Source organism: Homo sapiens, chromosome 2, assembly GCF_000001405.40.
Source record: "Homo sapiens chromosome 2, GRCh38.p14 Primary Assembly".
Taxonomy (NCBI): Eukaryota; Metazoa; Chordata; class Mammalia; order Primates; family Hominidae; genus Homo; species Homo sapiens.
The window spans coordinates 217,343,834-217,371,508 of NC_000002.12; the positions used below are offsets into that span (position 1 = coordinate 217,343,834).

General features: G+C 42.6%; 2 long non-coding RNA genes across 13 annotated transcripts in view, besides 1 other annotated feature; one reads left to right on the plus strand and one right to left on the minus strand.

The window, feature by feature from the left end:
• DIRC3-AS1 (DIRC3 antisense RNA 1) overlaps positions 1–371 on the plus strand; it is a 61,472-nt gene extending 61,101 nt beyond the window's left edge. The window contains exon 6 of the long non-coding RNA NR_133642.1: positions 337–371. This is a non-coding gene — a long non-coding RNA (DIRC3 antisense RNA 1). The remainder of the gene's footprint in view (positions 1–336) is intronic.
• The window catches only part of DIRC3 (disrupted in renal carcinoma 3), a 506,425-nt gene that overhangs the window by 59,815 nt on the left and 418,935 nt on the right, over positions 1–27,675 (minus strand). The gene's annotated exons all lie outside the window — the stretch shown is intronic.
• Positions 26,163–27,362: an enhancer, noted in NCBI's record as "P300/CBP strongly-dependent group 1 enhancer chr2:218234719-218235918 (GRCh37/hg19 assembly coordinates)". NCBI's record gives its function as "activates an origin of replication core promoter dependent on BRD2, BRD4, P300/CBP, MED14 and CDK7 cofactors, with strong dependence on P300/CBP, by STARR-seq in HCT116 cells {active_cell/tissue: HCT116}" and the evidence as "EXISTENCE:reporter gene assay evidence [ECO:0000049][PMID:35650434]".

Genomic DNA, 27,675 nt, shown 5'->3' on the forward strand with positions numbered 1-27,675 from the left:
GGAATGTTATGGGGCTCAGAGAGTAGAAAGTAACTCCTGCTCTGGGTATTTGGGGAGGCATCATGGTGGGAGTATTTGCATATTCTACCCACCTTTTCTATCCCAGCTCAAAAATTGCAGGAGGAAAGAGGGCAAAAAGGAAGCACCTGGGCAGAGAGAACAACATGAGCAGAAAAAGCACAGAGGCAGAGAAGAGTTGGGCATGTTCAAAAGCTTTGATATGTTCACAAGCATTGATTCCATTGTCTGAAGGCAAATTGGGAGAGATTAGTAAAAAGTTAGCTCAGGTCAGATAATGAGAGTCTTGAATACAGGCTAAGGTGCTCTATTTTCTAGGCTATGTGAAGCCATGGATGGTGGAGAGAGGTGGATGGAGCTGAGCTTCGAGGCAAGTGATCTGGCAACAGTGTAGAAAATAAAGGTGATTGCCGTAGCCTCAGAATGAGACAGAGACTGAAATGGGAAGGTACAGTTCCTAAGATCTGATGCCTAATTGGATGAGCTGAGCCAAGGAGAGAAAAAAGACACTAATGATAGAGGGCTCTAGATGATATGCCTAGGAAGATAGTGAGGACTTTAATTGGAACAGGCATACCAGAAGAAGAGAGGATGATATGTTCTACTTCTAATTAGCAAAAAAATTATCAAGGCAGAAATGTCCAGCACCCTGTTGAAAATGGTGAACCAGAACACTGAAGAAAAGATGAGACTAAAATTGGAGACTTAAGAGTCCTCCCTATATAGAATGTAATGGAAATCATGACAATAAATGAATCTTCCAATGGAAAAAATACAGAGAGAGATGATGGTAAGCATCATAAATTCAGGGGCGATTTATCCAGAATCATGTAAATACTAACAACACAGAAACTTAAGAGGGGAGAGATGTTCTACATTGAAAAAAATGAATATACTATTATCTCTTAGGTATGCAGTGAGTGTAATTTTTAATACTTTTAAACCAATTTTTATTACTTCTAGGAATATTGAAAGAATACAAATGTTATTTTTAAAGAAAACGAGGTTATTTAGCACAACATGCTAATGGAGACAAACTAGCAATGTAAATGCCTTTTGTGATTTTTAAAAGTTAAAAAGAACATTTCAATCCGCTTGTTGCTGTGTTTAATATTCATTTGTTTATTCATCCATCATCATTTAGTAAATATTTATGGACGGCCTGTTATGTGCTAGGTAGGCACTGTTCTAGCTGGACAGGGCTTCACTGTGGACAGACCATCAATAATCCCTGACCCCCTGTTGCTCTCATTCTCCCTTCCCTTGCTAGAATGCAAGGTTGCACAGACTCTTTTTAGGTGAGTTGTACACCGAACCTCTTCAACTCATGGAAGACACATACCATTATGACCTTCCAGGCTCCAGTTCACTTCTCAAGTTTCCAGTTCCTTGGTTGCAGAATGAAATAACCATTCCCACATTTCAGAGTGAGGAATAGAAATGGCATATACAGAGCAGCCTTCATTGTGTGCCTTAAAAGTTCACTGTGAACTGTAAACAGCAATGGATAAGAGAACAGAAATTCTGGGTTCTAGGTTTGGATTCTGGCTAGACTTCAGTCTTATTATCTAAGTCATGTAGATAGATAGATGATAGATAGATAGATAGAGAGATGATAGATAATAGATAGAGTATTTGACACAAGGCTGCCTAGATCCATGTCTTCCTTTAATATTTCTTTTTTTTTTTACTTTTATTTTAACTTCAGGGATGCATGCGCAGGTTTATTAGGTAAACTCGTGTCATGAGTGTTTGTTGTACAGATAATTTTGTCACCCAGGTATTAAGCCTAGTACACACTAGTTATTTTTCCTGATCCTGATCCTCTCCCTCCTCCCACCCTCCACCTTCCAGTAGGCCCCAGTGTCTGTTTTTGTCTTCTATGTGTCCATATGTTTTCATCATTTCACTCCTACTTATAAGTGAGAACATGTGGTATTTGATTTTCTGTTCCTGTGTTAGTTTGCTAAGGATAAGGGCCTCCAGCTCCATCCATGTTCCTGCAAAGGACATGATCTTATTATTTTTTATGACTGCATAGTATTCCATGATGTATATATACTACATTTTCTTTATCCAGTCTACTATTGATTGGCATTTAGGTTGACTTCATGTCTTTGCTATTGTGAATAGTGCTGCAGTGAACATACATGTGCATGTATCTTTATGATACAACAATTTATAACCCTTTGGGTATGTGCCCAGTAATAGAATTGCTGGGTCAGATGGTAGTTCTGTTTTTAACTCTTTGAGGAATTGCCACACTGCTTTCCACAAGGGTTGAACTAATTTACACTCCCACCAACAGTGTATAAAATGTTCTCTTTTCGCCACAACCTTGCCAGCATCTGTTAATTTTTGACTTTTTAATGGCCATTCTCACTGGTTTGAGATGGTATCTCACTGTGGTTTTGATCTGCATTTCTCTAATGATCAGTGATGACCTGTTTTTGTATGCTTGTTAGCCACATGTATGTCTTCTTTTGAAAAGTGTCTGTTCCTGTCCTTTGACCACTTTTTAATGGAGTTGTTTGTTTTTCACTTGTAAATTTAAGTTCCTTATAGATGCTGGATATTAGACCTTTGTCAGATGCATAGTTTACAAATATTTCTCCCATTCTGTAGGTCGTTTACTTGGTTGATAGTTTCTTTTACTGTGCAGAAACTCTTTAGTTTAATTAGGTCTTATTGCCAGTTTTTGCTTTTTTGCAGTTGTTTTTGGCATCTTGATCATGAAATCATTTCCTGTTCCTATGTCCAGGATGGTATAGCCTAGGCTATCTTCTAGGGATTTTACAGTTTTGGGTTTTACATTTAAGTCTTTAATTCATCCTGAGTTAATTTTTGTTTATGGTGTAAACAAGGGGTGCAGTTTCAATCTTCTGAATATGGCTAGCCAGTTATCTCAGCACAATTTATTGAATAAACAGTCCTTTCCTTATTGGTTGTTTTTATCAGCTTTATTAAAGATCAGATGGTTGTAGGTGTGTGGCCTTATTTCTTGGCTCTCTTCTGTTCCATTGGTCTCTGTGTCTATCTTTGTACCAGTACCATGCTGTTCTGGCTACTGTAGCTCTGTAGTATAGTTTGAAGTTGGATAGCATGATGCCTCCAGCTTTGTTATTTTTGGTTAGGATTGCCTTTGCTCCTAAAATTGGATCCATATTAATTTTAAAACAGCTGTTTCTAGTTCTGTGAAGAATGTCATTGGTTGTTTGATAGTAATAGCATTGAATCTATAAATTGCTTTTGGTGGTATGGCCATTTTAACAATATTGATTCTTTCTATCCTTGAGCATAGAATGTTTTGCCATTTGTTTGTGTCATCTCTGATTTCTTTAAGCTGTGTTTTGTAGTTCTGTAGAGATCTTTCACCTCCCTGGTTAGCTATATTCCTAGGTATTTTATTCTTTTTGTGGCCATTGTGAATGTGATTGCATTTCTGATTTGGTTCTCAGCTTGACTGTTGTTGATGTATAAGAATGGTAGTAATTTTGTATGTTGATCTTGTATCCTGAGACTTGACTGAATTTGTTTATCAGCTTAAGGAGCTTTTGGGCTGAGACTATGGGGTTTTCCAGATATAGAATCATGTCATCTGCAAATAGGGATAGTTTGACTTCCTCTCTTCCAATTTGGGTGCCCTTCGTTTCTTTCTCTTGCCTAATTACTCTGGCCAGGACTTCCAATACTATGTTTAATGGGAGTGGTGAAAGAGGGCATTTTTGTCTTGTGCTAGTTTTCAAGGGGAATGCTTCCAGCTTTTGCCCATTTAGTATAGTGTTGGCTGTGGGTTTGTCATAGATGGCTCTTATTATTTTGAGGTATGTTTCTTCAATATCTAGTTTATTGAGAGTTTTTAACCTGAAGCGGTGTTGAATTTTATTGAAAGCCTTTTCTGCATCGATTGAGATAATTATGTGGCTTTTGTCTCAGAGCTGTTTATGTGATGAATCACTTTTATTGATTTGTGTTTGTTGAACCAACATTGCATCCCAGAGATAAATGCCTTGATCTAGTGGACAAGCTTTTTGATGTGCTGCTGGATTCAGTCTGTCAGTATTTTGTTAAGGATTTTTGCATTGATGTTCATCAAGGATATTTGCCTGAAGTTTTCTTTTTTTGCTGTGTCTCTGCCAGGTTTTGGTATCAGGATGAGGCTGGCTTTACGGAATTAGCTAGGGAGAAGACCTTCCTCCTCAATTTTTTGGAATAGTTTCAGTAGGAGCAGTATCAGCTCTTTTTTGTACATCCTGTCGAAGTTGGCAGTGAGTCCATCAGGTCCTGTGCTTTTTTTTTTTTTTTTTTTTTTTTTGGTTGGTAGGCTATTTATCACTGATTCAATTTTGGAGTTCATTATTGGTGTGTTCAGGGATTCAATTTCTTCCTTGTTCAGTCTTGGGAGGGTGTTTGTGTCCAGGAATTTCTTCATATCTTCTACATTTTCTGGGTTGTGTGCATAGACGTGTTCATAATACTCTCTGACAGTTATTTGTATTTCTGTGGAGTCACTGGTAATATCCCTTTTGTCATTTCTAATTGTGTTTGTTTGGATCTTCTCACTTTTCTTCTTTATTAGTCTACCTAGTGATGTATTTTTCTTTCATTTTTTTCCAAAAACCAACTCCTATATTTATTGATCTTTTGATTGGTTGTTTGTGTCTCAATCTCCTTCAGTTCTGCTCTGATTTTGGTTATTTTTTTGTCTTCTGCTAGCTTTGGGGTTGTTTTACTCTTGGTTCTCTAGTTCTTTTAGTTGTGATATTATGTTATTAAATTGAGATCTTTCTAGCTTTTGGATGCAGGTGTTTATGCTATAAATTTCTCTCTTAACACTGCCTTAGCTGTGTCCCAGAGATTCTGGTATGTTGTATCTTTCTTCCCTCAGTTTCAAAAAACTTCTTGATTTCTGACTTAATTTCAGTATTTACCAAAAAGTCATTCAGGAGCAGGTTATCTAATTTCCACGTAATTGTCTGGTTTTGAGTGATTTTCTTAGTCTTGATTTCTAATTTTATTGTGCCATGGTCTGAGAGAATGGTTGTTAAGATTTCATTTCTTTTGCATTTGCTGATAGTTGTTTTAAGCCCCATTGTGTGGTTGATTTTAGAGTATGTGCCATGTGGCAATGAGAAGTAAATATATTCTGTTGTTTTGAGGTGGAGAGTTCTGTCCTCTAGATGTTCATGAGGTCCATAGACCTGATCAAATGTTGAATTCAGACCCTGAATATCTTTCTTAATTTTTTACCTGAATGATCTGTCTAATATTGTCAATGGAGTGTTGAAGTCTCCCACTATTATTGTGTGGAAGTATATGTCTCTTTGAAGGTCTCTAAAAACTTGCTTTACAAATCTGGGTGCTCCTGTGTTGGGTGCATATATATTTAGGATAGTTAGGTCTTCTTGTTGAATTGAACCCTTTACCATTATGTAATGCCTTTCTTTAACTTTTTTGATTTTTGTTGGCATAAAGTATGTTTCGTCTGAAATTAGAATTGCAACCCCTGCTTTTTTATGTTTTCCATTTGCTTGGTAGCTTTTTCTCCATCACTTTGTTTTGAGCCTATGGGTGTCATTACATGTGAGATGGATCTCTTGAAGACAGCATATCATTGGGTCTTGGTTCTTCAGTTTGCCACTCTGTGCCTTTTAACTGGGGGCATTTAACTCATTTACATTCAAGGTTAATTTTGATACATGTGTATTTGATCCTATCATCATGATGTTAGCTGGTTGTTATGCAGACTTGTTTGTGTGGTTGCTTTATAGTGCCACTGGTCTGTAAGTGTGCTTTTGTAGTGCCTGGTAATGGTCTTTCCTTTTCAGATTTAGTGCTTCCTTCAGGAGCTCTTGTAAGGCAGGTCTGGTGGTAACAAATTTCCTCAGCATTTGGTTGTCTGAAAAATATCTTATTTCTCCTTCACTTATGAAGCTTAGTTTGGCCAGATATAAAATTCTGGGTTGGAATTTCTTTTTCTGAATATTGGCCGTCAGTCTCTTCTAGCTTCTAGGTTTTCTTCTGAGGCTGTTAGTCTGATGGGCTTCCCTTTGTAGGTGACCTGACCTTTCTTTATAGTTACATTTAACATTTTTTTCTTTTATTTTGACCTTGGAGAATCTGATAATGATGTGTTTTGGGGATGATCTTCTTGTGAAGTATCTTACTGGCATTCTCTGAATTTCCTGAATTTGAATGTGGGCCTCTCTAGCCAGGTCAGAGAAGTTCTCCTGAATGATATCCTGAAATATGTTTTCCAAGTTGCTTCCATTCTCTTCATCTCTTTCAGGGACACCAGTGAGTCATAGATTTGGTCTCTTTCTATAATCCCATATTTCTTGGGGGGTTTGTTCATTCCTTTTCATTCTTTTTTCTCTATTCTTGGCTGACTGTCTTATTTTACAAAGCCAGTCTTCAAGCTCTGAGATTCTTTCCTCAGCTTGGTCTATTCTGCTATTAATACTTGTGATTGCATTATAAAATTCTCATATTATATTTTTCAGCTCTATAAGATCAGTTATGTTCTTTTTTAAACTGTCTATTTTGTCTGTCAGCTCCTATATCTTTTAATTGTAATTCTTAGCTTCCTTGGATTGGGTTTCAACATACTCCTGCATCTTGATGATCTTCCTTCCTATCCATATTCTAAATTTTATTTCTGTCATTTCAGTCATCTCAGCCCAGTTGAGATTCCTTACTGGAGAGCTAGTGCGGTTGTTTGGAGAAAGGAAGACACTCTGACTTTTTGTGTTGTCAAGAGTTCTTGCAGTGGTTCTTTCTCATCTTTGTGAACTGATGTTACTTCAATCTTTGAAATTGCTGTCCTTTGGATGTTATTTTTTTTCTTCCACCCTATTTGATGACCTTGAGGGTTTGATTGTGGTATAAGGTGGATTGAGTCTATTGGTTTCATTTCTGCAAGATTTTAAGTGGCTAAGGCTCAGCTCCTAACTCCTGGACTATGTGCTCAAACTCTGAGGGACTAGTACTGAGCTCCAACTTTGTTCTTTGGCTCTTCAAGGTTAGGAACCCACTGTGCTGGTGGGGGTGTCAAGGTACTTCTAGACTTCTGGTCAGCACACTCCAACAGGTGGTGTCAGCCAAAGTGTTTTCTATGACAGTGGCAGCAGGATCCATCATCACTTGCACATGCCAGCAGCAGCAGCAGTGTGGCAAGGTGCATGCTAGTCTGCTGCAGCAAGGTGCTAGCAGACACTGGAGTGTCAGCCTTTTTGCAGGTGTTCACAGCAGCAACAGAGGCAGCATGACTTGATGGTGTGCATGGTGACTGTGCATACAGTCACACTGGTGGTATTCTTAGCATAGATGTGGGATTCTGGCAGCTGCAGGTCTGTGTGTGCCTTCTTTGCATGTTCATGCAGGCAAAGGGGGCCACTCAGGGCAGCAGAGAGTCCTCTGTTCTGAGTGCCTAGTTTCACTTGTCAGCAGCATTGATGCAGGGGCGGGGCTCTGTAGGGGCAGGGCTGATGGGTTCTGTGCCCACCAAGGCTCAGACTGCAATGGCAGTATGGTGGTGGGGGTTAGGGTGTTGGGGGGCACTCACATTGGCAGCAGCGGCAGGGCAGGATGCACGCTCACACGCATGCTGGCAGGTCAGGGAAGGCAAAATCTGCCCAGGCACACACGTGCTGGCAAAGATATGTGGGGGGTGGCCATGGCCCAGGGGAAGCTACAGTGGGCAGAGGGAGTGAGCAAGCTGGTGCATGTCCATGGGGGCTGCTCTGCTGGAGCTCTCTGCTGGTCAGGTGTGGTCCACCAGTGCAGGAGCTGTGATGTAGGCCCCCAGGGCACCCGAGGCTGCACTGCAAGCAGGTGTGGTTCAGCTGGGGCTCTGGGAGAGGCCAGCAGACCAAGGGGTGCACAAGAGCCCTGTCTGATGGGCAAAACCTCCCCTCACAGTTCAGGTCTGACAGTTCCCCTAGGGCTAAAATCTTCTATGGGAAGAAGGCAAGCCTAAGGGGATGGGCATCTACAGCCAACCTCTGCTACAGATGCTCCTGCACCAAACCCTCTGGGCTCTACAGGGACTAGAGTACTGTCCCTACCATTTCTCTGGCAGCTCTCCCTGCCAACTCAAGTGTCTCTGGTTGTAGAGGGGTCTCCCTCTGCCAGGATTCAGGAGATCCATGGCGAGAGCAGGTTGCTCCTTGCCAGATCAACTCACATGTTCTCCCAGTCACTGGGGGCCAAGAACAAGTTCTGGTGTACAGCAGCCCCATGTGGGATTTCCAGCTTCTTTCTCCTTCAGCCCAGCTTCTGTGTCTTCCCTCTGTCCACTCTCAGTGCCTTTCCTCTGAAGATCTGTTAGGAGCATGCCAGTCATCCAGGTACCTCGGTGGCAGCTGTTCCACTTAGCTGAGTCTAGTTGGCCATCTTGCCTCAAATCCCTCCTTTAATATTTCTGTAGATGTCTTCCTATTTAGTTTTACTTAACTATGCTACTTGGTAAAACAATTTATGGAGAACTAATAGTAATAATAACAATACAGTTAATAGTAATAATAACAATAACAACCAGATAGTTTCTACTGAGGATTTTTCAGGTACTATGCTTTGTGCTAAGTCCTGTTCTTGAATAAGCTTATTTAATATTTCTAATTACCCTTGACTTGGGTATCATTATTATTATTTTTTGTTTGTTGGTTTTTGAAGCGGAGTCTCACTGTCTTGCCCAGGCTGGAGTACAGTGGCACAATCTTGGCTCACTGCAACCCCCACCTCCAGGGTTCAAGCAGTTCTCCTGTCTCAGCCTCCCCAGTAGCTGGGACTACAGGCACCAGCCACCATAACTGGCTAATTTTTGTATGTTTAGTAGAGACAGGGTTTCACCATGTTGGCCAGGCTGGTCTCGAACTCCAGACCTCAAGTGATCTGCCTGCCTCAGCCTCTCAAAATGTTGGGATTGTACAGGCATGAGCCACCACTCCTGGCCAACTTGAGTATAATTATTATCCCTATTTTACAGGGAAAACAGAGGTGACTAGGGGTAAAGAAACTTTCCCCAAATCACATTGCTAGCCTGTAGTTCAGTTGGGATTTAAACTTTGGCAGTCTGGCTCGAGATTTACTTTTAGGATTTTGAGGCATGCTTGAATTTGCTTGTGGCTCCTTTCCTTCCCCTGGGCTTCCAAACACAATGGTGTGTTTTGGGAATATTCAAGGGTGCCATTTGAAAGCAACAATGTAAGATTCCTCCAACTCTATACGCTGCCCACTCAAGGTGTGGTCATCCACCTTGCCCAGGGTTGGGAGATGAAGGAACAGGTTCTTTCCTAGCATGTATTGTCCAGATGCTGAGTTTTTCCAAAGGATACTAAAGTCTTTATCTCACCCTACTTTTGACAAAGGGAGTGGTTGAGGTGGTTATGGATGAGGTGTTTCTCCTGCCATGCTACTTCAGCTGGGATGACTTATTGGATGTCTTCCTAATAGTTTGTAGAGCAAAAGAAGTGGAGGGGTTGGGGTTTGTGGGTGATAGGTGTAGAATAAATGGGGGTGGGGCAAGAAGGCAAGATTTGTATTCACACAGGGGACTGCCTTCAGGGTGCCTCATAGTGGAGGCTATTCATCAAAACCACTAGGGCCCCAGGGACATGAAGCCTAGGGATTTAGAGCATATTCCATCAGTTTAATTACTGGTGAGATCTGAGGTTACAAAGGAGAAGCTGATCAAATAGCTGCTGACCTTCTTCTAGCTACACTGACCCCACATATAAGGTTCTCCTAAGTTTATGGGCTCCTCACCTCACCTCTCCTTATTCCCCCTCCCCACATTTTGCAGTTGGTAAAATGACAAGCTTCTTCCAGTTCAATGCTCTTAACCCAAGGAGATAGTAGCTGCCATGGCAGAAATAAAGGCAGCAGATAAATCCAGTTGACAAAAAAGCCCTTACACTCACAGAGGCCTTGTTCCTCATTTCTGCCAGAGTGTTGAGCAGGAAACGAGCAGATATTCCTCCGGTCAGTATTTACTGAACATATGTTTTGTCTCAGGAATAGGAGACATAGCATTGAAAAAGTCACATAGGGCTCCTACCTTCCTAGAGTTTAAGGTACGAGAAGTCTTAAAGAAGCACCACGAGTTAGAATATGAAATGCTGTTCATATGAAACAGACATGATAGGGGAAGTATAGGGTATATGGGATCCCAGAACAGGAAGGTACAGCTAATTTCACCCAGGAGGGTGATTTCATAGGAGGGTGACTTTCCTATTCCCTAGAAAAATCACCCCCCTTTTTAGGATTTTGTCCTAGGAAAAAGTCATCTTATAATGAGACTTTTTCTGATCACCAGAACTATTCCTAAATCAACAGAAACTATGGCCTTCAATTATAAGCAAGATAGCAAGATGATGTATCTCAGTTGAAATGCAGTTGCTTGAACTTATGCCAAAATACTAAGTTTGAATTTGTGAGTGCGATCAACTTTTAGTAACATAATATTTTAGAACATTCGTAGTTACCTGTCAATGGCAACTCAGTTCATAAATCTTATCTGCTCTGGAAGAGCTCAGCATCTGAGAAGGATGCCTGCTCCTGTCTGGGGTGGATATACACTGCTTCATGACACCGTACTCAGAGCTGATAGGAGCTGTCAGTGAACCTGTTGAACTTTTCCCAGCCAGACAAGGTGGACCCATGACTCCTCTGAGGACCTGCCAGGTACCCTTCCCTCTGAGCAACTGCAACCTGCTGGGAGTCAGAAGTAAGAGATGGCATTCAAGCTTGCTGCTGCTTTGTTCTGAACTGGTGAGTCTGTTCCCTTCTGTATAAAAGACACCTAGATAGAAGAAAAGAACCTGCTATTACTTCTACTTTTGGAATCAGGAAATGGCTCTTTATCTGGAGTTAAAGAGTGGGAATCCAGGCAGAATTCCTGTGGGAAGTAAGGGTTAACTGAGATCTGAAGGATGGGTAACAGCCTGGTTGAAGTACACAGGAATCGTTCTAAGAAGAAACATCTTATGGGAAGACTCAGCTCTCTGAAGCACAGAGACCACAAGACATATAAGGCATTTGACAGTGTTGGGGCAGGCTGAGGAGGTGAGGCTTGTCAGTCACTCAAGTCACGTTAAAGAATTTAAAGTTTATCCTGAGGTCAAGCGGAAGTCAGTGAAGGGTGTGAAGCAGAAAAGAGACATGTTTGGGTTTGCTTTTTGAAGAAATATTATTCTGGCTACAGCATGGAGAAGGAATGGAAAACGGACAAAACCAGAGGAAAGAAGACCAGTTTGACAGCTGTGGCTATAGCCTGGGAAAAGAGGGCAGCAATTTGAGCTAGGGTGGGAGCAGGAGGATACAGAAAATTAGACACATTCAAGAGATTTGAGAAGCCAGAGTGATGATGATGGATTTAAAGTAGATGGTAAAGGGCCAGGCATGATGGCTCATGCCTGTCATCCCAGCACTTTGGGAGGCCAAGGCGGGTGGATCACCTGAGGTCATAAGTTCAAGACCAGCCTGGCCAACATGGTGAAACCCCATGTCTACTAGAAATACAAAATTAGCCAGGTATGGTGGTGCATGCCTGTAATCCCAGCTACTCGGGAGGCTGCAGCAGGAGAATCACTTGAACCTGGGAGGTAGAGGCTGCAGCAGGAGAATCACTTGAACCTGGGAGGCAGAGACTGCAGTGAACTGAGATCGCACCACTGCACTCCAGCCTGGGCAACATGAGTGAAACTCCATCTCAAAAAAAAAAAAAGTAGATGGTAAAGGAGAGAAAATCAGGGATGACTCCTAGGTGCCTGGCTTGAGCACCTACAGGAAGGAAGGGGTCATGCATTGTGTGGCATGGACTGGATGTTTGTGTCCCCCAAATTCCTGGGTTGAAGCCCTAGTTCCGATTGTGATGGTATTAGAAGGTGGGACCTTAGATAAGGTCATGAGAGTGGAGCCCCTGTGATGGGATTAGTGCCCTTATAAGAAGAGGAGTAAACAGAGCTTGTTCTCTCCACCATGGGAGGATATAGCAAGAAGGTAGCTGTCTCCACACCAGAAAGAGGGTTCTTGCCAGATGCTGAATCTGCCAGCACCCTGATCATGGATTTTGTAGACTCCAGAACTGTGAGAATTAAATGTCTGTTGTTCAAGCCACTCACTTTATGCTATTTTGTTATGCAGCCTGAGCTAAGGCACTGTGGCAGGGAAGTGGAGGTAGAACAATCCAATTTCAGATAGGAGCAGGTGCAATTGGGGGGCTGCCAGATGTCCCAGTGGTTGAACAGACAGCAGAGGTCATGTGAGAAGTCCAGGCTAAAGATACAGACTCAGGGGCCATAGCCCTATGAAGGAATGTACAGCCATAGGCATATATGATATGGCCAGGGTGATGGGCAAGGGTGAGAAGAGAAGAGGCTTGGGGGCATCAACATTGAAAGCAGCAGAGACTTAGCTTTGTCCACAGTGATGTTCACAGTTCCTGTGGTCCAGAGTGGGGAGGAGTCCAGAGGTCATATACTGAGTCATGGGCAGGTGATCCTAGTACATAATTCTGCCCCGGACAATAGCTTTTGTTTCTAGCCTAGTAACAGTGGGGCTAGAAGGAGTTGACATCTATGAAAGAACCTGAGTTAGATAAGTGAAGTCTCCTGTCTACATCACATAGATTTAAAAATTCTCTGTAACTATAAAACATTATACTCATAATAATTCTCACTGTGATTCTAGCTATTATTCTCTCCCATTTTAAAGATGAAAGACTTTAAGTTCAGAAAAGTTACTTGGCTTATACCAGGTAATTCAGGGACAATGGCAGAGCCTGAAATTCTTCCTAGTCGTCCAATTCAGGTTCACTCCCCTGTTCCTGTTTTCTTAAACTCCTATTTATTGCAGCTATATGTTTATGTTAATTTATTCTCTTCTTAACCTGTGGATCCTCTCCATGAAAACAATAAGAAAAAGACACTTTGGCTGAAGAGGTGGAAAAATACAGCAGGAGAGAATTCCTCTGAGACCTAAGATACCGTGCCCTTCCCCCTTGGCCTCTCAGCTGCTGCCGAGTCCTGGAGAAAATCGGGCATCTGAACAGAGGCCGTGTTTGTCCCTGCTCCGGCCTTGTGTTCTCATTCCTGCCACGCCATCATGGATAATGAAAGTTGACTGGCTGCCGGGGTTTCCTTTCTCTCTGCCCCTGTCATTTCCATTTGCCAGGTCTCATGCCTTTTTTGCACAGAGTTGTTGTGCTTGGGCTCTAATTTGCCAGGCAGTGATAAATTCCAAGAAAAACCCATTCTTATTGAATTATTTTTGGAATGTTATGCAAACAACTCTAAATTGTGTGGCAGCCAACTCCACTCTAAGATCTAGTTTTGACTTCATGTTAATTCAAGTAGAGGAGAGAAAGAAAGAAACAAAAACTCAAAATGCTGAGATACCATCTTTCATTCTCAAGGAGAATTTTTTAAAGTCTACTCCTTTGATACAAGGGTCTAAGCTCCCTTTCAGGACTTAGGCAGTGAAGATCACACTCCCGTACCAGGAGTCCCTCACAGAATACACAGAGGGAAAACCTCCCTCTTCAGTTCTCTAGAAGAAGAAAGGCTGGGCCAATTAGCCAGGTGTGGTGGTGGGCACCTGTAGTCCCAGCTACTCGGGAGGCTGAGGCAGAAGAATGGCGTGAACCCGGGAGGCAGAGCTTGCAGTGAGCTGAGATCGTGCCACTGCACTCTAGCCTGGGTGACAGAAGAAGACTCCATCTCAAAAAAAGAAAAGGAAAGACTGGGCCAAATTGAAAGCCCACTGAAGCACGCAGCGTAAAGCTATGATCTCCTCTTTGGGAAAGGATTAAACAAGACTTCTATCCTTGAGTTCAGGCCTTAATAGAAGATGTCTTGTCCCAGGAGACTTTTTAAAACAAGAAAAGCAAGTAGCAATAGCTATTTTCCACCCCTGAGCCCTCTACCACCACCTCCAAGAAATAGTTTAGAATGAAGCTCTAATTCCACTAGAGCCAATACATTTCTGATTCCAGGAGTGAACAACTGTCATTTCTCTATTTCCACATTTTCTAGTCAAAGTCCTTCTTTTTGTTTTGTTTTGTTGATAGAACATTCCATTCTCCACTTGCTGTCCATTTTAGAACTTGCTAAGCTAATAAGATGGAAACCTGGAGGCGCTGAGAACTCTTGTCCCTGCCATAAGGGCACTTGCATGAGACTGAAGCCAGGACAGGAGTGGGGAGAGTTGAGAGGTGGAGTGGACAGAGTCCTGGGCACATCATCCGAGCACCTGCTTCAGCCCTTGCCTGAGCCAGATCTGCCTCCAGGCTCTGTAAATACAAGAACGAGTAAAAGCCAGAATCTTCACTACTAAGCTTTCCCAGTCTCCATTTCTTCATCGGAAAAATGGAAAGGACAGCATGCAGAGCTTTTAACTGTGTTCTGTAGACTCTGGAATTCCAAAAGTCTTGTTAAAAATGTCATTGTGTGCACAAGTATCTGACTATACACAACAGAATTTGTGAAGAAGAGGGACTGAAATTCCTGAGTTAAAATGTTTATCACGACAGCACAGGTGGCCCCCTATTGTCTGAAGATTCCAATCAAAATTCCTCCCCCTGGCTCCCCAGCTGTCCCTGTTTACATTTTCAGCCTTATCCCTTAACATACCTTTCCATTCCCTATCCTCTGGCCAAACCGAGACCTGCACTATTGTCTACTTGTCCTCAGTGCTGTCCTCTGGGTCCTTGCAATCATAGAGTCTTCCTTTCATGGAACGCCCCCTCCACCCAACCCCACCTCGCCTAGTTATACCTCCCCATCCTGCAAAGTCCCATTCAAGATCCGCCTTCTCCAAAAGTCCTCCCTCAAGTCTCCGTCCCGTTCTGCTTCTAAGAAAAAGCTCCCGTCTCTGAATCCCCAAAGCACTTTATCTGAACCTGACTTATGTTACTGAATCAAGGTCCCTTTATGCATCACTTCAGATTCCCTTGCCTCAGGTGATTCAGGGGGTCCATGGCCCCTTGTTCTGTCCCAGTTGCCGCTGAGGCCAGCAGAACTGTGTGGACTCTGGCCAACTGCACAGGGACACAACCGGGCGGTGCCTTGCTTCGTGCTCATGCTCTAAACCTCTTGCCTCCTGTCTTAGCATATTCCTGCTGTTACTGAGACATTAGAGCCAGAGGAATATACATGGGTGCTCAGTGGGCATGCATGTGCCCCCCCTCACACACACCACCCACACATGCACACACACACATGCACACACACATACACGCATTCACACGCACACACATATGTACAAGTAGTTAAGGGAAGTTAATGCTCCCTAGATTGAAGCTTTTGTCAGTGGGACACAGGAGCCAGGGAAAAATTTCTTCTCTGTTCTCTTTCCCCTGCCCACCCTCTAGGAAGAGGGTCTGTGAGAGTGATCAATTATTTACACTTATTACCAAGTGGTATCCAGCTCAGGAAACCTTTCCTTCCTTTTCTCTTCATTTCTCCTTTCCTGGGTTTGCATTCCCCAATAAAGAAGTAGCATGATAGTTTTTGTATCCAGTTCTGATTTCCGGGGCACCCAAACCTATCACTTTTTACTTGACAACACAGTTGCTTATGCATGTATCTTGTTCCACCTGACTAGACTACATAATTATTGTGAGTTTCTTTATCTGCATTATAATCTAGCATAATGTTAGTGCTCAATATGGTCTGTGGCATGAATGAATGACAAGAGGTTTTGGAAAATGTAGTGTCAACAGGGACCTGAAGACCCTAAACTGACACACACAATATGGAGGGATGGGAGGGGAATGTGTTCTTACATTATGACTTCTGTTCTCAAGCCGATAACTGGTTAGTCTGTTGGATGTACCAGAGCACAATTCAAACCAAAGGATAGCTTCCTTCTTATGCCAGTACAATAGTGTGCACAATGAGGCAGAATATAGAAAATTATTAGGTCAGACTCCTTATATAGAACCGAAGGCAGCCAGACACCAGGGAGCAGAACATAGGGAAAATAAGAGGAGAGAATTCCCTTAGAGGTAAAGAAACTGATGGCCTGTTACTTTTCACAATATTTGCAAAGGAGAAAGGCAAATTCACAATGGGGCTAAAGAACCGTCTCAAGAGAGACCTTATTAGAACTGTAGGAGGACTGGGATGGTCCCAACCGAAGTCTGCTGGAAGGAAAGGAGACCATTCTCCCAGGGGCGGGCAGAACTCACCCCGAATGACTGCGAGTTCCTTTTATCACTACCCCACCAACTCTGATTCAGTCTTTTTTGCATCTTGTTTCATTAGGGTTGGAACCTTGATACCTATGTGCAGCCTTGAAACCACTGTGGTCTATGCCTGTATCCAGGCCAACAAGGACATGACCATGGCAGTGGAGAGGCATCCATCAGTCTGCTTTAGGGCAGTTTTTAACAAAGGCACCTGCAGAAGGAACTGAAACAATACTCACCCATAATTGGGCAGCTCAGAAGCTCTTGTTCCCTCTCAGCCCTGTATTTGGAAGCAGGACTGTGCACTTTGGACTGTGTCCCGGCAGTTCTTGGACCTCAAAAGAGTAACACTAGTCCTCCTGCTAATGAGGACTCGATCAGCTAATTGCAAATGAAAAGATGAGACTGCATTCATAAGGGGATGAAGTGGTTCCTCCTGGTCATTCCAGGACTTGCTGAGTCTGTCTGCAATAGGTACACTTCGTTGACTAAAACCTTTCTAGGGTACCAGGTGTAGCCATGGCTTATTGGAAAGTATGACCCATGCAGAGAAAAACAAAACAGGAGATGGGCAGAGGACAGGAGATGAGTAATTGCACCTGTCAGAAAATGAGGATAATGGTTAAGGATACTAGCATGGAAGCTCTGAGTTTTATGGAGAAAAACACCAGGGCAAATACGAGGAATTATTTGTCCTCAATGTCCCCTGGAGAAGGTGGAGTTGATCATTGGGGCCTTGGTGGCCTGTATGACCTTCCAGCCAACAATATTTAAAGTGCCTGCTTACACTCAGTGGTTAGCACAGGCATTACACCACCCCATCCCTGCTGCCCACCCTGAAGATACAGGCAGCTCTGATTTTGTGACATGCTATTTTTAAAACAACCAAATCATTTCTACATTGCCCCCTTCACAGCCTAGAGGAAGGAACTGGTTGCCTCACCAATCTTTGGCACCAAAGTGCTTCACTGCGGATGTCTTTTTTTCTGCTGTCATACCGTCCTGATTAAGATTAATTGTCCCAGTCGAAGTGACTCACTTAGAAAGGATGGGAAGGGTGGAGGGAAGAGGGCAGTTTGCTTCTTTTTTTTTTTTTTTTTGCCTACTTCAATGTTTGTTCTGAAAGATCCAAAAGAATACAGGAGTGTAGCAAAGGAATTTAAAGTGTGGAACATGTAATAAAGGAGATCAAGTGAAAAAGCTATTATGGGCTCCATGTTTATCTTCAGCTCAGTGACTTTCAGAGGAGCATGCACTTGGCTGGGGAGCCTGGAGGGTGTGACTGCTCCCTGCCAGTTGGAGGGCCTTGACCTGAACTCTCAAAAATTCAGCTGACCTCGTCCAGCCCCAGCTACTCTAAAAACAAGGCTACAACATCTCCCCTCACTGACACAGATACACCCCTATGTATATATTAAAACCTCAAAAGTTCATTTTGGGTGCAGAAATCATATACAACCAAGGGAGCAACTGAGTAAGAAAAAGAAAATATATAACGACTAAACTAAAAGCTGTACCAAAGAGGAAAGAGATATTATTTATAGAACAGCTTTCACTTGCCAGGCATTAGTGCAAAAGTTGATTCTTTCTGAGATACTTCTCCAGAACTCAGATTTGCACATCCTCTCTGAGTCTATCCCTCCAGCTCTGAGAGGCTCCCACTCCCTGGCAAGCACCTCAGACTCCTTTGTTGATGGAGTGGGCCTGGCTGAAGCAACTCTGGCTATTTTGGGGATAGTTATAGAATACTTATAGAGGCCTTATTCAAAAACTCATGACCACTACTCTCATTTCAAATTAAAAACGTCTATCCTCTATGCTTTTTTTCCCCACCTTATTACCTTAACAAAAAGAAGAAAGGTTTGGCAAGGAAAGAAGTGTATGGCTTTGCTGATTCTGTGCATTCAATAGAAATCAAATTGTCATGACTTGTGAGGAAGAGAATTGGGCAGGGTGTCAGTAGACTGAAGCACACAACATCCAGCCCAGAACAGGCCACATTTGGTAGCCATTGGCTAATGAATGAATGGATGAATGAGTGAACTTAGGTATGAATCCCAGCCCATCAACTAACCAGTCGTGTGCCCTTAGATAAACTACTTCTATTTTCTGGACCTCAGAGATTATCTAGTTCAACAGAGGAAACCAGCCTTAGCATCTAGCTCAGATACTCCTCTTACTGTCCCATCAGCCTGGAGTCTGTATATTCCTGGGGGGCTGTCTTGACATTTCCTTTTTCTGAAAAGACCATTTGAAACCATTCCTGTTCTACATCTACATCTTGGGCTGGATGAACCTTGAACATGCATCTCTCAATTCCAACTTGAGCCCACCGAACAGCTTAACTGAAATTTTCTCTGGGTTCCAGTGCTCCAAGTCCAGAGGCTTCCATATCTGCTCTTGCCAAATACAAGTGGTTGGCAGATAACCCTGCAGTAACTCATCACCCCAACAGTAACTCATCTGTATTCACTCCACCCCAGCTCTACACAGACAAGTCACCACAAATGGATTGATGGCAATTTGAATTCATTGCCTACATGGGAAATTTCTTTGAGGGGAGTATCTGGCTACATCCTTAAGTTACAGATAAGATACTTATTCTCAAACAAGTAGCCAAGGAATATTATCATAATCCTGTCTGTCCTAGTATTTGATACCTTCATAATAGTTATTCCTCTAACTTAATCAAGGTTTAGTTATTTTCAGCCTCTCCCTCTCTCTCTCTCTCTTTCTCTTTCTCAAAGAGTTGGAGGGATTATCAGCCATACGAACATAAGTCAATGCAATCTTGGCCAAATTTAGGTAAATGGACAGGATGCAGATAACGCTGGGGACTCAGAAGGTTGAGCCGAAGCTGCAGAGTCTAGATAGCTTCCGCCTTCCATTGTCCCGTGATGCTTGCTCTGATAGTCCCTCTATCTCTTCCCTGCATTCCAGACTTGCTTAAGAATTAGAGAATATCAGACCAAGAAATCTCAAGCTCCATTCCAGCTCTACTCTCCTCCTTTCAGGGATGAGAAAGCTGAGGCTCAGAGAGGTTAAGGTTGCCTTCCAAAGTCACAAAGCCAACACAGCCCAGCCTTGCCCCATGTCTCTTCCACTACCACTCAGGACACACCCAGTCACCTCAATTCCCACAGGACCATTGCAGTTGGAACAATTTTAGCAACAATGTTTGTTACTGATCAACCCAAGCTTCCCTGAAATGGAAAACAGGGAAATGCTGGGGCAAGAAAGATAGCCAAGGGATTTACAGAGAAATAAAAGCTCCAGAAGAGAGGCCTTCATGACCTAATTGTGGCCCTATAAGCCCAGAGCATGCTGGATATTTTGCTTTGTTTTATTGCTTTTTTTTTTTTTACTTGCCCTTCTCATTCTTATCCCCACTTAGTTTTGCATGGGAAAGAGAAGGTCAAGGATCTGGAAAGACAAGGAAGGTATTTTATTGGCCAGAAATTTGCAAGACGTCATATTCCTGCTTTATCAGTATGCCTGACCCATTGATTGGAGATGGTTCTTTACCTCCTGGCTCCTTTTAGGCCCTGTAAATTCAACGCTTTTTAATTTTTACAGAACAGTTTATGGGCTGCAAAAAGGGGAAGCTGGGGGAATCTGTTGTCAGGGGCTGCATTGAGCAATGAACCATCTTCTCAGTGTTCTTTTTCTTTCCTCCCACAGGAAGTCTTGTAAATGAGCACTTGGACTTTCTGAGGGAGATTGAAAAAGGTTTTTGGGGGGCAAGGCATGAAAGGGCAGACAGATTATGAAGGGGCCTTCAGGAAAATCTGAGACACCGTCTACCTCTGGTCAACTTGGTTATTTGTGGGACAGGAGAAGATTCCAGCAGATCATTCTCAAAATCTACTCTGAACTATTCAGCCTGTGAGGAAAAGAGGAATGTGTGACCTGATGATTTAAGCTAGAACTGATCAACTTTTTTAGGAGTTGACATTTTGAAAGGAGTGATCTGGGGACAATGTGGAAGGATCTAAAGAACTCAGTGATTTAGAATTCTCTAACTCTCTAAAACTTCTCTAGAGCACCATGATCTACACTCAGCATCTCCATAGCAGCCAGACAGTCACTTAAAGATGGTAACTGACAGAGACCAACCAAGACATGAGAGGCAAAGAGTCAAAGCTAAACTTGAGAAAAATATTATCTGTAAGACAGTTGATTAAGGGGCAAAGTAAGTTGCTATAATTTTATTTATCAATTGAGCAAAGCTTGAAAGATGAATTAGATTTTTAAAAATGCCCTTACATTTTTAAAGCTTGAGAATCCAACCAAAAAGTAGAGTTAGGAAAATTGAGGAATCATTATCACCATCACCAACATCATCATCATCATCACCACCATCATCATCACCATTGTCATCATCATCATCATCACCATCACCATCATCACCACCATCATCATCTTCACCATCAACACCATCTTCATCATCACCCACCTCTTAGTGAACATTTATTAAAAGCTTGTTGGATACTTGGCATCTTTTGAGTGCTTTACATACATTATTTCAGTCCTCACATCATCTTTCATGAGACAGGACTGTTATTAGCCATATCCTACAGGTCAGGAGAATGGGAGGAATTTCTCCTCACACTCTAAAAAGGGGTGGTAAAGAGAAGAAAACTAACCTTTTCCAAGGTCTAATTTTAGCCTCTACAAGTTAGAAAGCAAATGCTCAGAAGATTTCAGCTTCCATTTAGACTTCCCAATTTTTCCTTCCTCTCAAAGAATAAATGAATTAATGCTAATATATGGAAATTCCAAAGGAAGAGAGAAGAGGAAAGTGGCTTTTAGGAAAAAACAAAATTAGACTGGTTTCTGCAGTAAATTTGGGAAGATCCCGACTACAGTGATTTGAACCCTTGCTTGTGCTCCTGTCTTGGGATGTCTTTGCTTGTCTAGCTTCAGAAGACTTCTGGAAAACCCCCACCTATTCATGGAATGCTCTACTCTATCCCACCTTCATATACCTGAGACCCCTTAGGAAGGTATTCTCCTGAGTGAAACTCAGTGCACTTGAACCCTCTATGGGTGGTAGAGTGGGAGGGAAGGGGGCCTTGCAGGCAAGGCTTTGGGTCAATTTCTGCAAAGTGCTGCCAACAGCAACTATCCACTTAGCCTAACAGGGCCCAGGAGGGGTGATATTGAATCTCTGCTCTTTCCTGTACCTTGAGTTGTATTACAATAGGTCTGTTGAGCTTTCCTAGTAAGTATCCCACACCAGAGGGATGGTAGTTATGTCGTTTGATGCTGGAGGAAGGTGAGAAGGGAGAAAAAATAGTACTGTAAAAGCAAACTAGAAAAATTAGAACTGGGAAATTTCTACAAGGGAAACATAAAATATCATTAAATCAATTTAGATTCTTCTGGGAAGAGGTGTATTTGAGGGGGTGGATCGGGATGCTAATAAACAGTGCATACTGGAAGTTTCCAAAGGAGCAGAAACCAGACTCCTTCCAAGGACTGGGGTGATGCATTTAGAGAAATAACACCCTGGGATTGTCATAGGCAGCCCTGCCATATTCACAGCGAGGCATAGTGCCAGAATCCATGTATTTTCAAATCAATTCTCAAATCCTCTGAATTATCAAGCATTTTATTTGCCTTTAGAGTAGACTCGCTTTATACACCATAAACATTTCATTCAGGCATTAAGTTCTGGGCTCTGCCTCTCGTTTACTTAGCCCTACTCCTGCAAAGGCAGCTGACTTTCTGTCCACTTTCTTTGACTGAGCCTAGTGCAGTTAAGATAGGATCTCCAGTTGCTTGGAGCTAACAACATCTTTTTATATATTACTTACCCTTTAATTCCTGCTGAGGTTTCAATGCAGATGCCCTGATGCTATAGGCACAATAATGTCCTCAGAGATGGCTTCATCCCCGAACCTGTGACTGTTACCTTACACATCAAAAGGACTTTGTAGCTGTGTTTAAGGATCTTGAGATGAAGAGGATTACCCTAGATTATCCAGATGGGCCCAATGTAATCACAAAAATCCCCAAAAGATGGAAGAGTAAAGCAGAAGAGACAGAGAAGGTAATGTGATGATTTTTTTCACAGAGGTCAAGCTTCACCTCCTCGGAGAAGCCTATCTTGTCTTTCCTTGTGAAATCAGTTGTCTTATTTGTAGCCTCTTTGCATTATCTACCACAATCACCACCACAACTGTGGGATGAGTGTGTGATTATTCTATTAATGTCTGTGTCCTTCACTAACTCATGAAGGCAGGGACTGAGCCAGATTTTGCTTCCTTCTGAATTCCCAGCACACAGCAGGTACTCAATAAATATTTGTTGAATAAATGAGCAAATGAAAGGGTGAGCAGAATCTAACCCCCCTACGGTTCTGAGTATTCTTTAGTGTGGGTGGAAACACAGCAGTCCATGAGGCACCCCACTGACCGGTTCTTTGCTTCTTGTTTTTGTATCTTGCTCAGACCAGAATATTTATCTTTACATATGGTCTTAATACATTTCTGCTGAGAGAACAGCAGTATCTGTGACTCCAATCAATGGCTCAAGGAGTTTGCAAGGATGGAAATTTTCCTTTTTCTATGTTATGATTTGTATTCAGATTATTCTGATTTAACTCTTGACCCAGCAGCCCCACCGGTGTACAATGATCTCTGTTGTTAGACTGGAGATCTCCCGCAGCTTTTCTCTTCTCTGAGTGTGAAAGACCATCCACTTATTCAAAGACCAAGATCCAGAGCCCAGTTTTGCAATACCCCAGGGGGATCCCATTTTCAAATAATCAGAACAAACTCTATTGAAAATCACTTCAACCTTAGTGCACCCCTGCATTTATTTTTAAAGGAAGTTGTGAGTGAAGTTACAAAAAATAAACAAGAGCAGTAAATACTAAAATGGCAGCTACACTTGATCCAGACAGTTATTGCATACCAACTACGAGTGAAGCCCTGAAATAAGGTTGGGAGGCACTGTCTTTTGTTGGCACACTCTTATTTCCCTTATGTCTCTGAGCACAAGTTCACTTTGACCCTCACAACTTGCCTGGGAGAGCGACAAGGTATTAATCTCTTTAAGTGCTGAAGTCACAGGTAATTACTCACTCTGTTTATCTGGGTGCTTCATCTTTGTCTTCCTGTGCTCCTCATGCTGTCTGACACATAGTAGGCCTGGAGGCGTATTTTTGAAGGAACAAATGAATGCCTGGCTTCTTTCTAAAGGGAGATTTTTAAATTGATTTGCCCAACATTACTCAGTAAGCAAAGGGCCTTCGATGTGCAGCCTGCTGACCTAATCCCAAGTCCAGCATTCCTTCCTCTCTGCTGTCCATGAAAGAACTCCTAGGCAGGAAGGATGAGGGACAGTGGGGACACACACCATATGAATGTCAGGTATATGACGGGAAGTTTAAGTATAATCAGACAAGGAAAAGTAGCACAGAAGAAAGCAAGCTTTGAGTTTACCCAGTCAAACAGCAGGAAGAATGTAGCTGGACAATAAAGACAAATAATCCAGCAGTGATGCCTGGAACCTTCCCCTTTCCCCAGCTGTAGGCCCCAAAACCAAGTGAGTCAGGCACACCGCTGACATGGCAGCCAGTCCAACCGGGGCATTTCATAGCCCTCGGGATGTTTAAAGAAGCAAAACACTCGGAGGATATGAATTCCTGCCCCATTAAAGAAAGTTTATTTTACAATATTTAACATTTCTTTATTAAAGGTGAACAGGCAGGATATAAGCTCTATAAACTTTCCAAGGAGAAGACATTGCTGGCATTCCAAGTGAAGAAATCATTGCCCTGTAGGAGAACCAAGGCTTGCCTATTTCACTTTACAGGTGCCACACATGGCATATTTTTCTTACAGGATTGTAATGCAGATGGATGAGCTTTTGGACATTAAAATTGTAACTGGATTTTTCTTGCCACCTCATTACTGTGCCATTTAAGGAAGAAGCTCATGGTTAATTCTCAGGGTAGGCTTGCCCAAAGCATCCCTTGTATTATGGGCAGGGCCTTGTCCTCAAATTGTACTACATAAGATGTCAGCTGGGGCCTCCCTGCCCTTCAGAGATAAGCCTTCCTCCAAGATTTCAGGGCCTGGGGTATGAGTGCCAATGGAGGTTGTTGATCAAGCCCCCTTCTCTTCCCACCTGACTCTATCAGCACCAGGACCAGCTCACAAGTAGGAATGTGGACATATGAGGGTCCGGACACTCAATTTCTATCCACATCCCCACAAACAAAGCTCCTCGGTGGAGTGGTCCACCATCCGGAGGAAGAACCTAGGTGAGAGTCCTGCACAGGCCTAGAAAGCCAGATTGGAACCATCTGGACAGGGGATGCCAATGGCCCATGAACCTGGCAGGGCATGAGTTCCAGATGCACACACCACCAGACTGAGCACATTCCTAACCCCATGGAAAGGGACATCCTGAGGACAGCCAGAGAGAAGCCCTCTGAGGTACTTGGCCCAAGTTGCCTGGATCTGGGCTTGTGCTAATCATGTTTAGGTAAAGTTGATTTAAACTCCCCACAAAGTCCAAAGCTCCTGTGTAACATCTGTCATTGTCTTGGGGCTTGCGTCCTAACAGTCTTCTCCCCTGGTTCACCTCTGGCTGCGTCCTACTTGCTTCACTCCACACCAACCCAAACTTGAAATGTCACTGCTTCACAATTTCTTAGAAAAAAAAATTCTCATACCTAGCATTTTATTTTTAGTTCACTCTACTGAAGACTTGGATGTTGAAAAGCTCCTTTTATCTCTGCATCCTTCTCTCTCCAAGGAATGAAGAAAATCCCATTTCTATTGTCATAGAAAGAGTCTAGAGACCATCTTTTAGGGTCTGAATTTTTTGTTGGGATCTTACTCTCCAAATAGAATGGTTTATCAAGGCTTAAGAAAGATTTTGGGAAGCAAAATGTTCTCCTTATTCACATATGTCCGATTGTGCACAAACACATACATCACTTCCACTCTCTTCTTGGTGGAAGAGAAACTAATACAAGGAGTCAGCGGATGCATACTAATGGTGGAACAATAGGCTAAAGTTCCCTGGGCTACATATTCGTTTGTCCTAAGTCCTGGTTGTTGAGTCTTCTTCATTTTGAGATCTGGGCTGGAGGAGAAATCCCTCCCTGGAACACACTGCCCTTGCAAAAGAAGGAAATGAGCTGTGTAACCTGATGATGTTTTTGAAAGTTTCTGCTCAGATGTAGCCCACGTAACTTTTGCTCACTTTCCATTGGCAAATGCAAGTCATATAGCAAAAGCCGATCTATGGGATGTGTGTGTATAATTCTCTTAAATACATGGAGGTTAACTGAGTGGGGACAGTAATGGTACAATACCCATCGAATAGTAACCTCCTTATCATCCTTCAAGAAGCAGCTAAAAATGTCATCTCTTCAGTATCATTCCATGGAAACATCTATCTCCCTGTTCTGTTCTACAGCATTACAACATTGAGACTTTCAGGACAATGTGCTGATTCCCCTACTACTTAGTGAGCCCTTTGAGGGCAGTGATAGTCTCTTATTTTATTCTATCTTCCCGTTACTTAGAACAGTCCCTGGAGCCTAGTACATTGTGCTATTATTGCTTACTTAGGGGAAAAAAAGGTGGTGCAATAATGCATGGAATCAGTCTTGAAATCCAAGGAATATTAAGAGAAAGTTATAAAGGAGGAGATGGAGAAAGACCAAAAACTGACTTTTGCACTTTTAAGTTGAGCTGTGTGTGTGTATATATATAATAGATATACAAGAAATATAGATGAGGCAGCTGCATTTATAAGCCTAAAGTTTTGGAGACATTTTCAGGGTGGATATATAAATTTGGCATACATTGGCAGTCATCAGCACATAGACGGTGTTATCACCTAAGAAAAGAATGGAGAAAGAGATGTTTATGATGTGTTTCCCATTTCCCACTTCCCACTTCCTGACTTGCCCAGAGACTGTAAGTCAGAACCTCTCCTTGGACAGACTCTTTTTTTTTTTTTCTTTGAGAGGGAGTCTTGCTCTGTCACCTAGGCTGGAGTGCAGTGGCGCAATCTCGGCTCACCGCAACCTCCGCCTCCTGGGTTCAAGCAATTCTCCTGCCTCAGCCTCCTGAGTAGCTGGGACCACAGGCGTGGGCCACCATACCCAGCTAATTTTGTGTATTTTTAGTAGAGATGGGGTTTCACCGTGTTAGACAGGATGGTCTCGATCTCCTGACCTCGTGATCCACCCGCCTTGGCCTCCCAAAGTGCTGGACAGGCTCTTAAAGTGTCTTCTAAAAGATCAACCTTGGTTGACCGTAGGTTTTTCATTAGAATGGAGACATATACTCAGCCTCAAAACTCTAATTTGACCCTCTGTTCCTTTGGGCTTACTTCTGCATGGAGCTGGGTTATATTATTATAGGGACCTTCAAAGTGCATTACCCGTCACCCCCGGACGCCTGTTGCATGAGCCATCCAAACCACATGTCTGTCACTCTCTTCCCTCCTCTTCCCCCATTTGTCATGTTGGTAGGATGACAGCTTTGTATTGAGTGAGTAATGAGGGCCAGGCATGATGACAAATGCCTTGCATGTGCTATCTCATTCCATCCTCACCACAACCTGGTGAGGGAGGCATTGACTCAATTTACGGATGTATTCAAAGCTCAGAGAGGTTAGGTAATGTGCCTCAAGTCAGCACGAGTAAGAAGCAGGTCTTTTGAATGGAAGTATCTCTCAGTGCAGATTCCATGCTCTCCATAAGCCACCAAGCTGCCTCAAACACAAACAAATCATTGAGAGCTGAGTCTTCTGGAAAGAGATATTTACACTTTGCAGGTAAAGAAACATACGCACATACACACGATACGTCTATATCTGTGTGTAGATATAAGTATACTTGGATTTTTTAAAAAAACAATATGTTACATAATTTCCTGCATTCTTAAATAGATAATGAATAATATTTAATAATTCCTCCATACTTTTATTTCATGTCTGCTCTGTGCCTCGCATTGTGTCAAGAGCAGTGTTTTGAACTTATTTTGAATTAACTGTTGTCCTCCAAAACTCTTAAGGGTTTGCGGTTTAACTGAAGAGAGGTAAGCTACATGCTGCTCTATGATCACCCTGACCCCCAATGTGATGGTATTTGGAGACAGGGCCTTTGAGAGGTAATTAGGTCATGAGAGTGGAGTGCTCCTGATGGGATTAGTGTCCTTCTAAGAGACAGGAGAGAGCTTGCTTCTTTTCTGTCTGCTCTCAGCTATGCCAGGACATAGCCAGGAAGAGGGCCTTCACCAGAACCCGAACAGCCTGGTACCTTGATCCCAGACTTCCATCTTACAGAACTGTGAGAAATACATGTCTGTTGCTTAAGCCAACCAGTCAATGGTCTCCTGTTACAGCAGCCTGATTAGTTCAGACACATACACATGTATGTATAAAAGAAGAACAGATCATATTAAGAGGAATAAGATACTTCTTTTTAAATG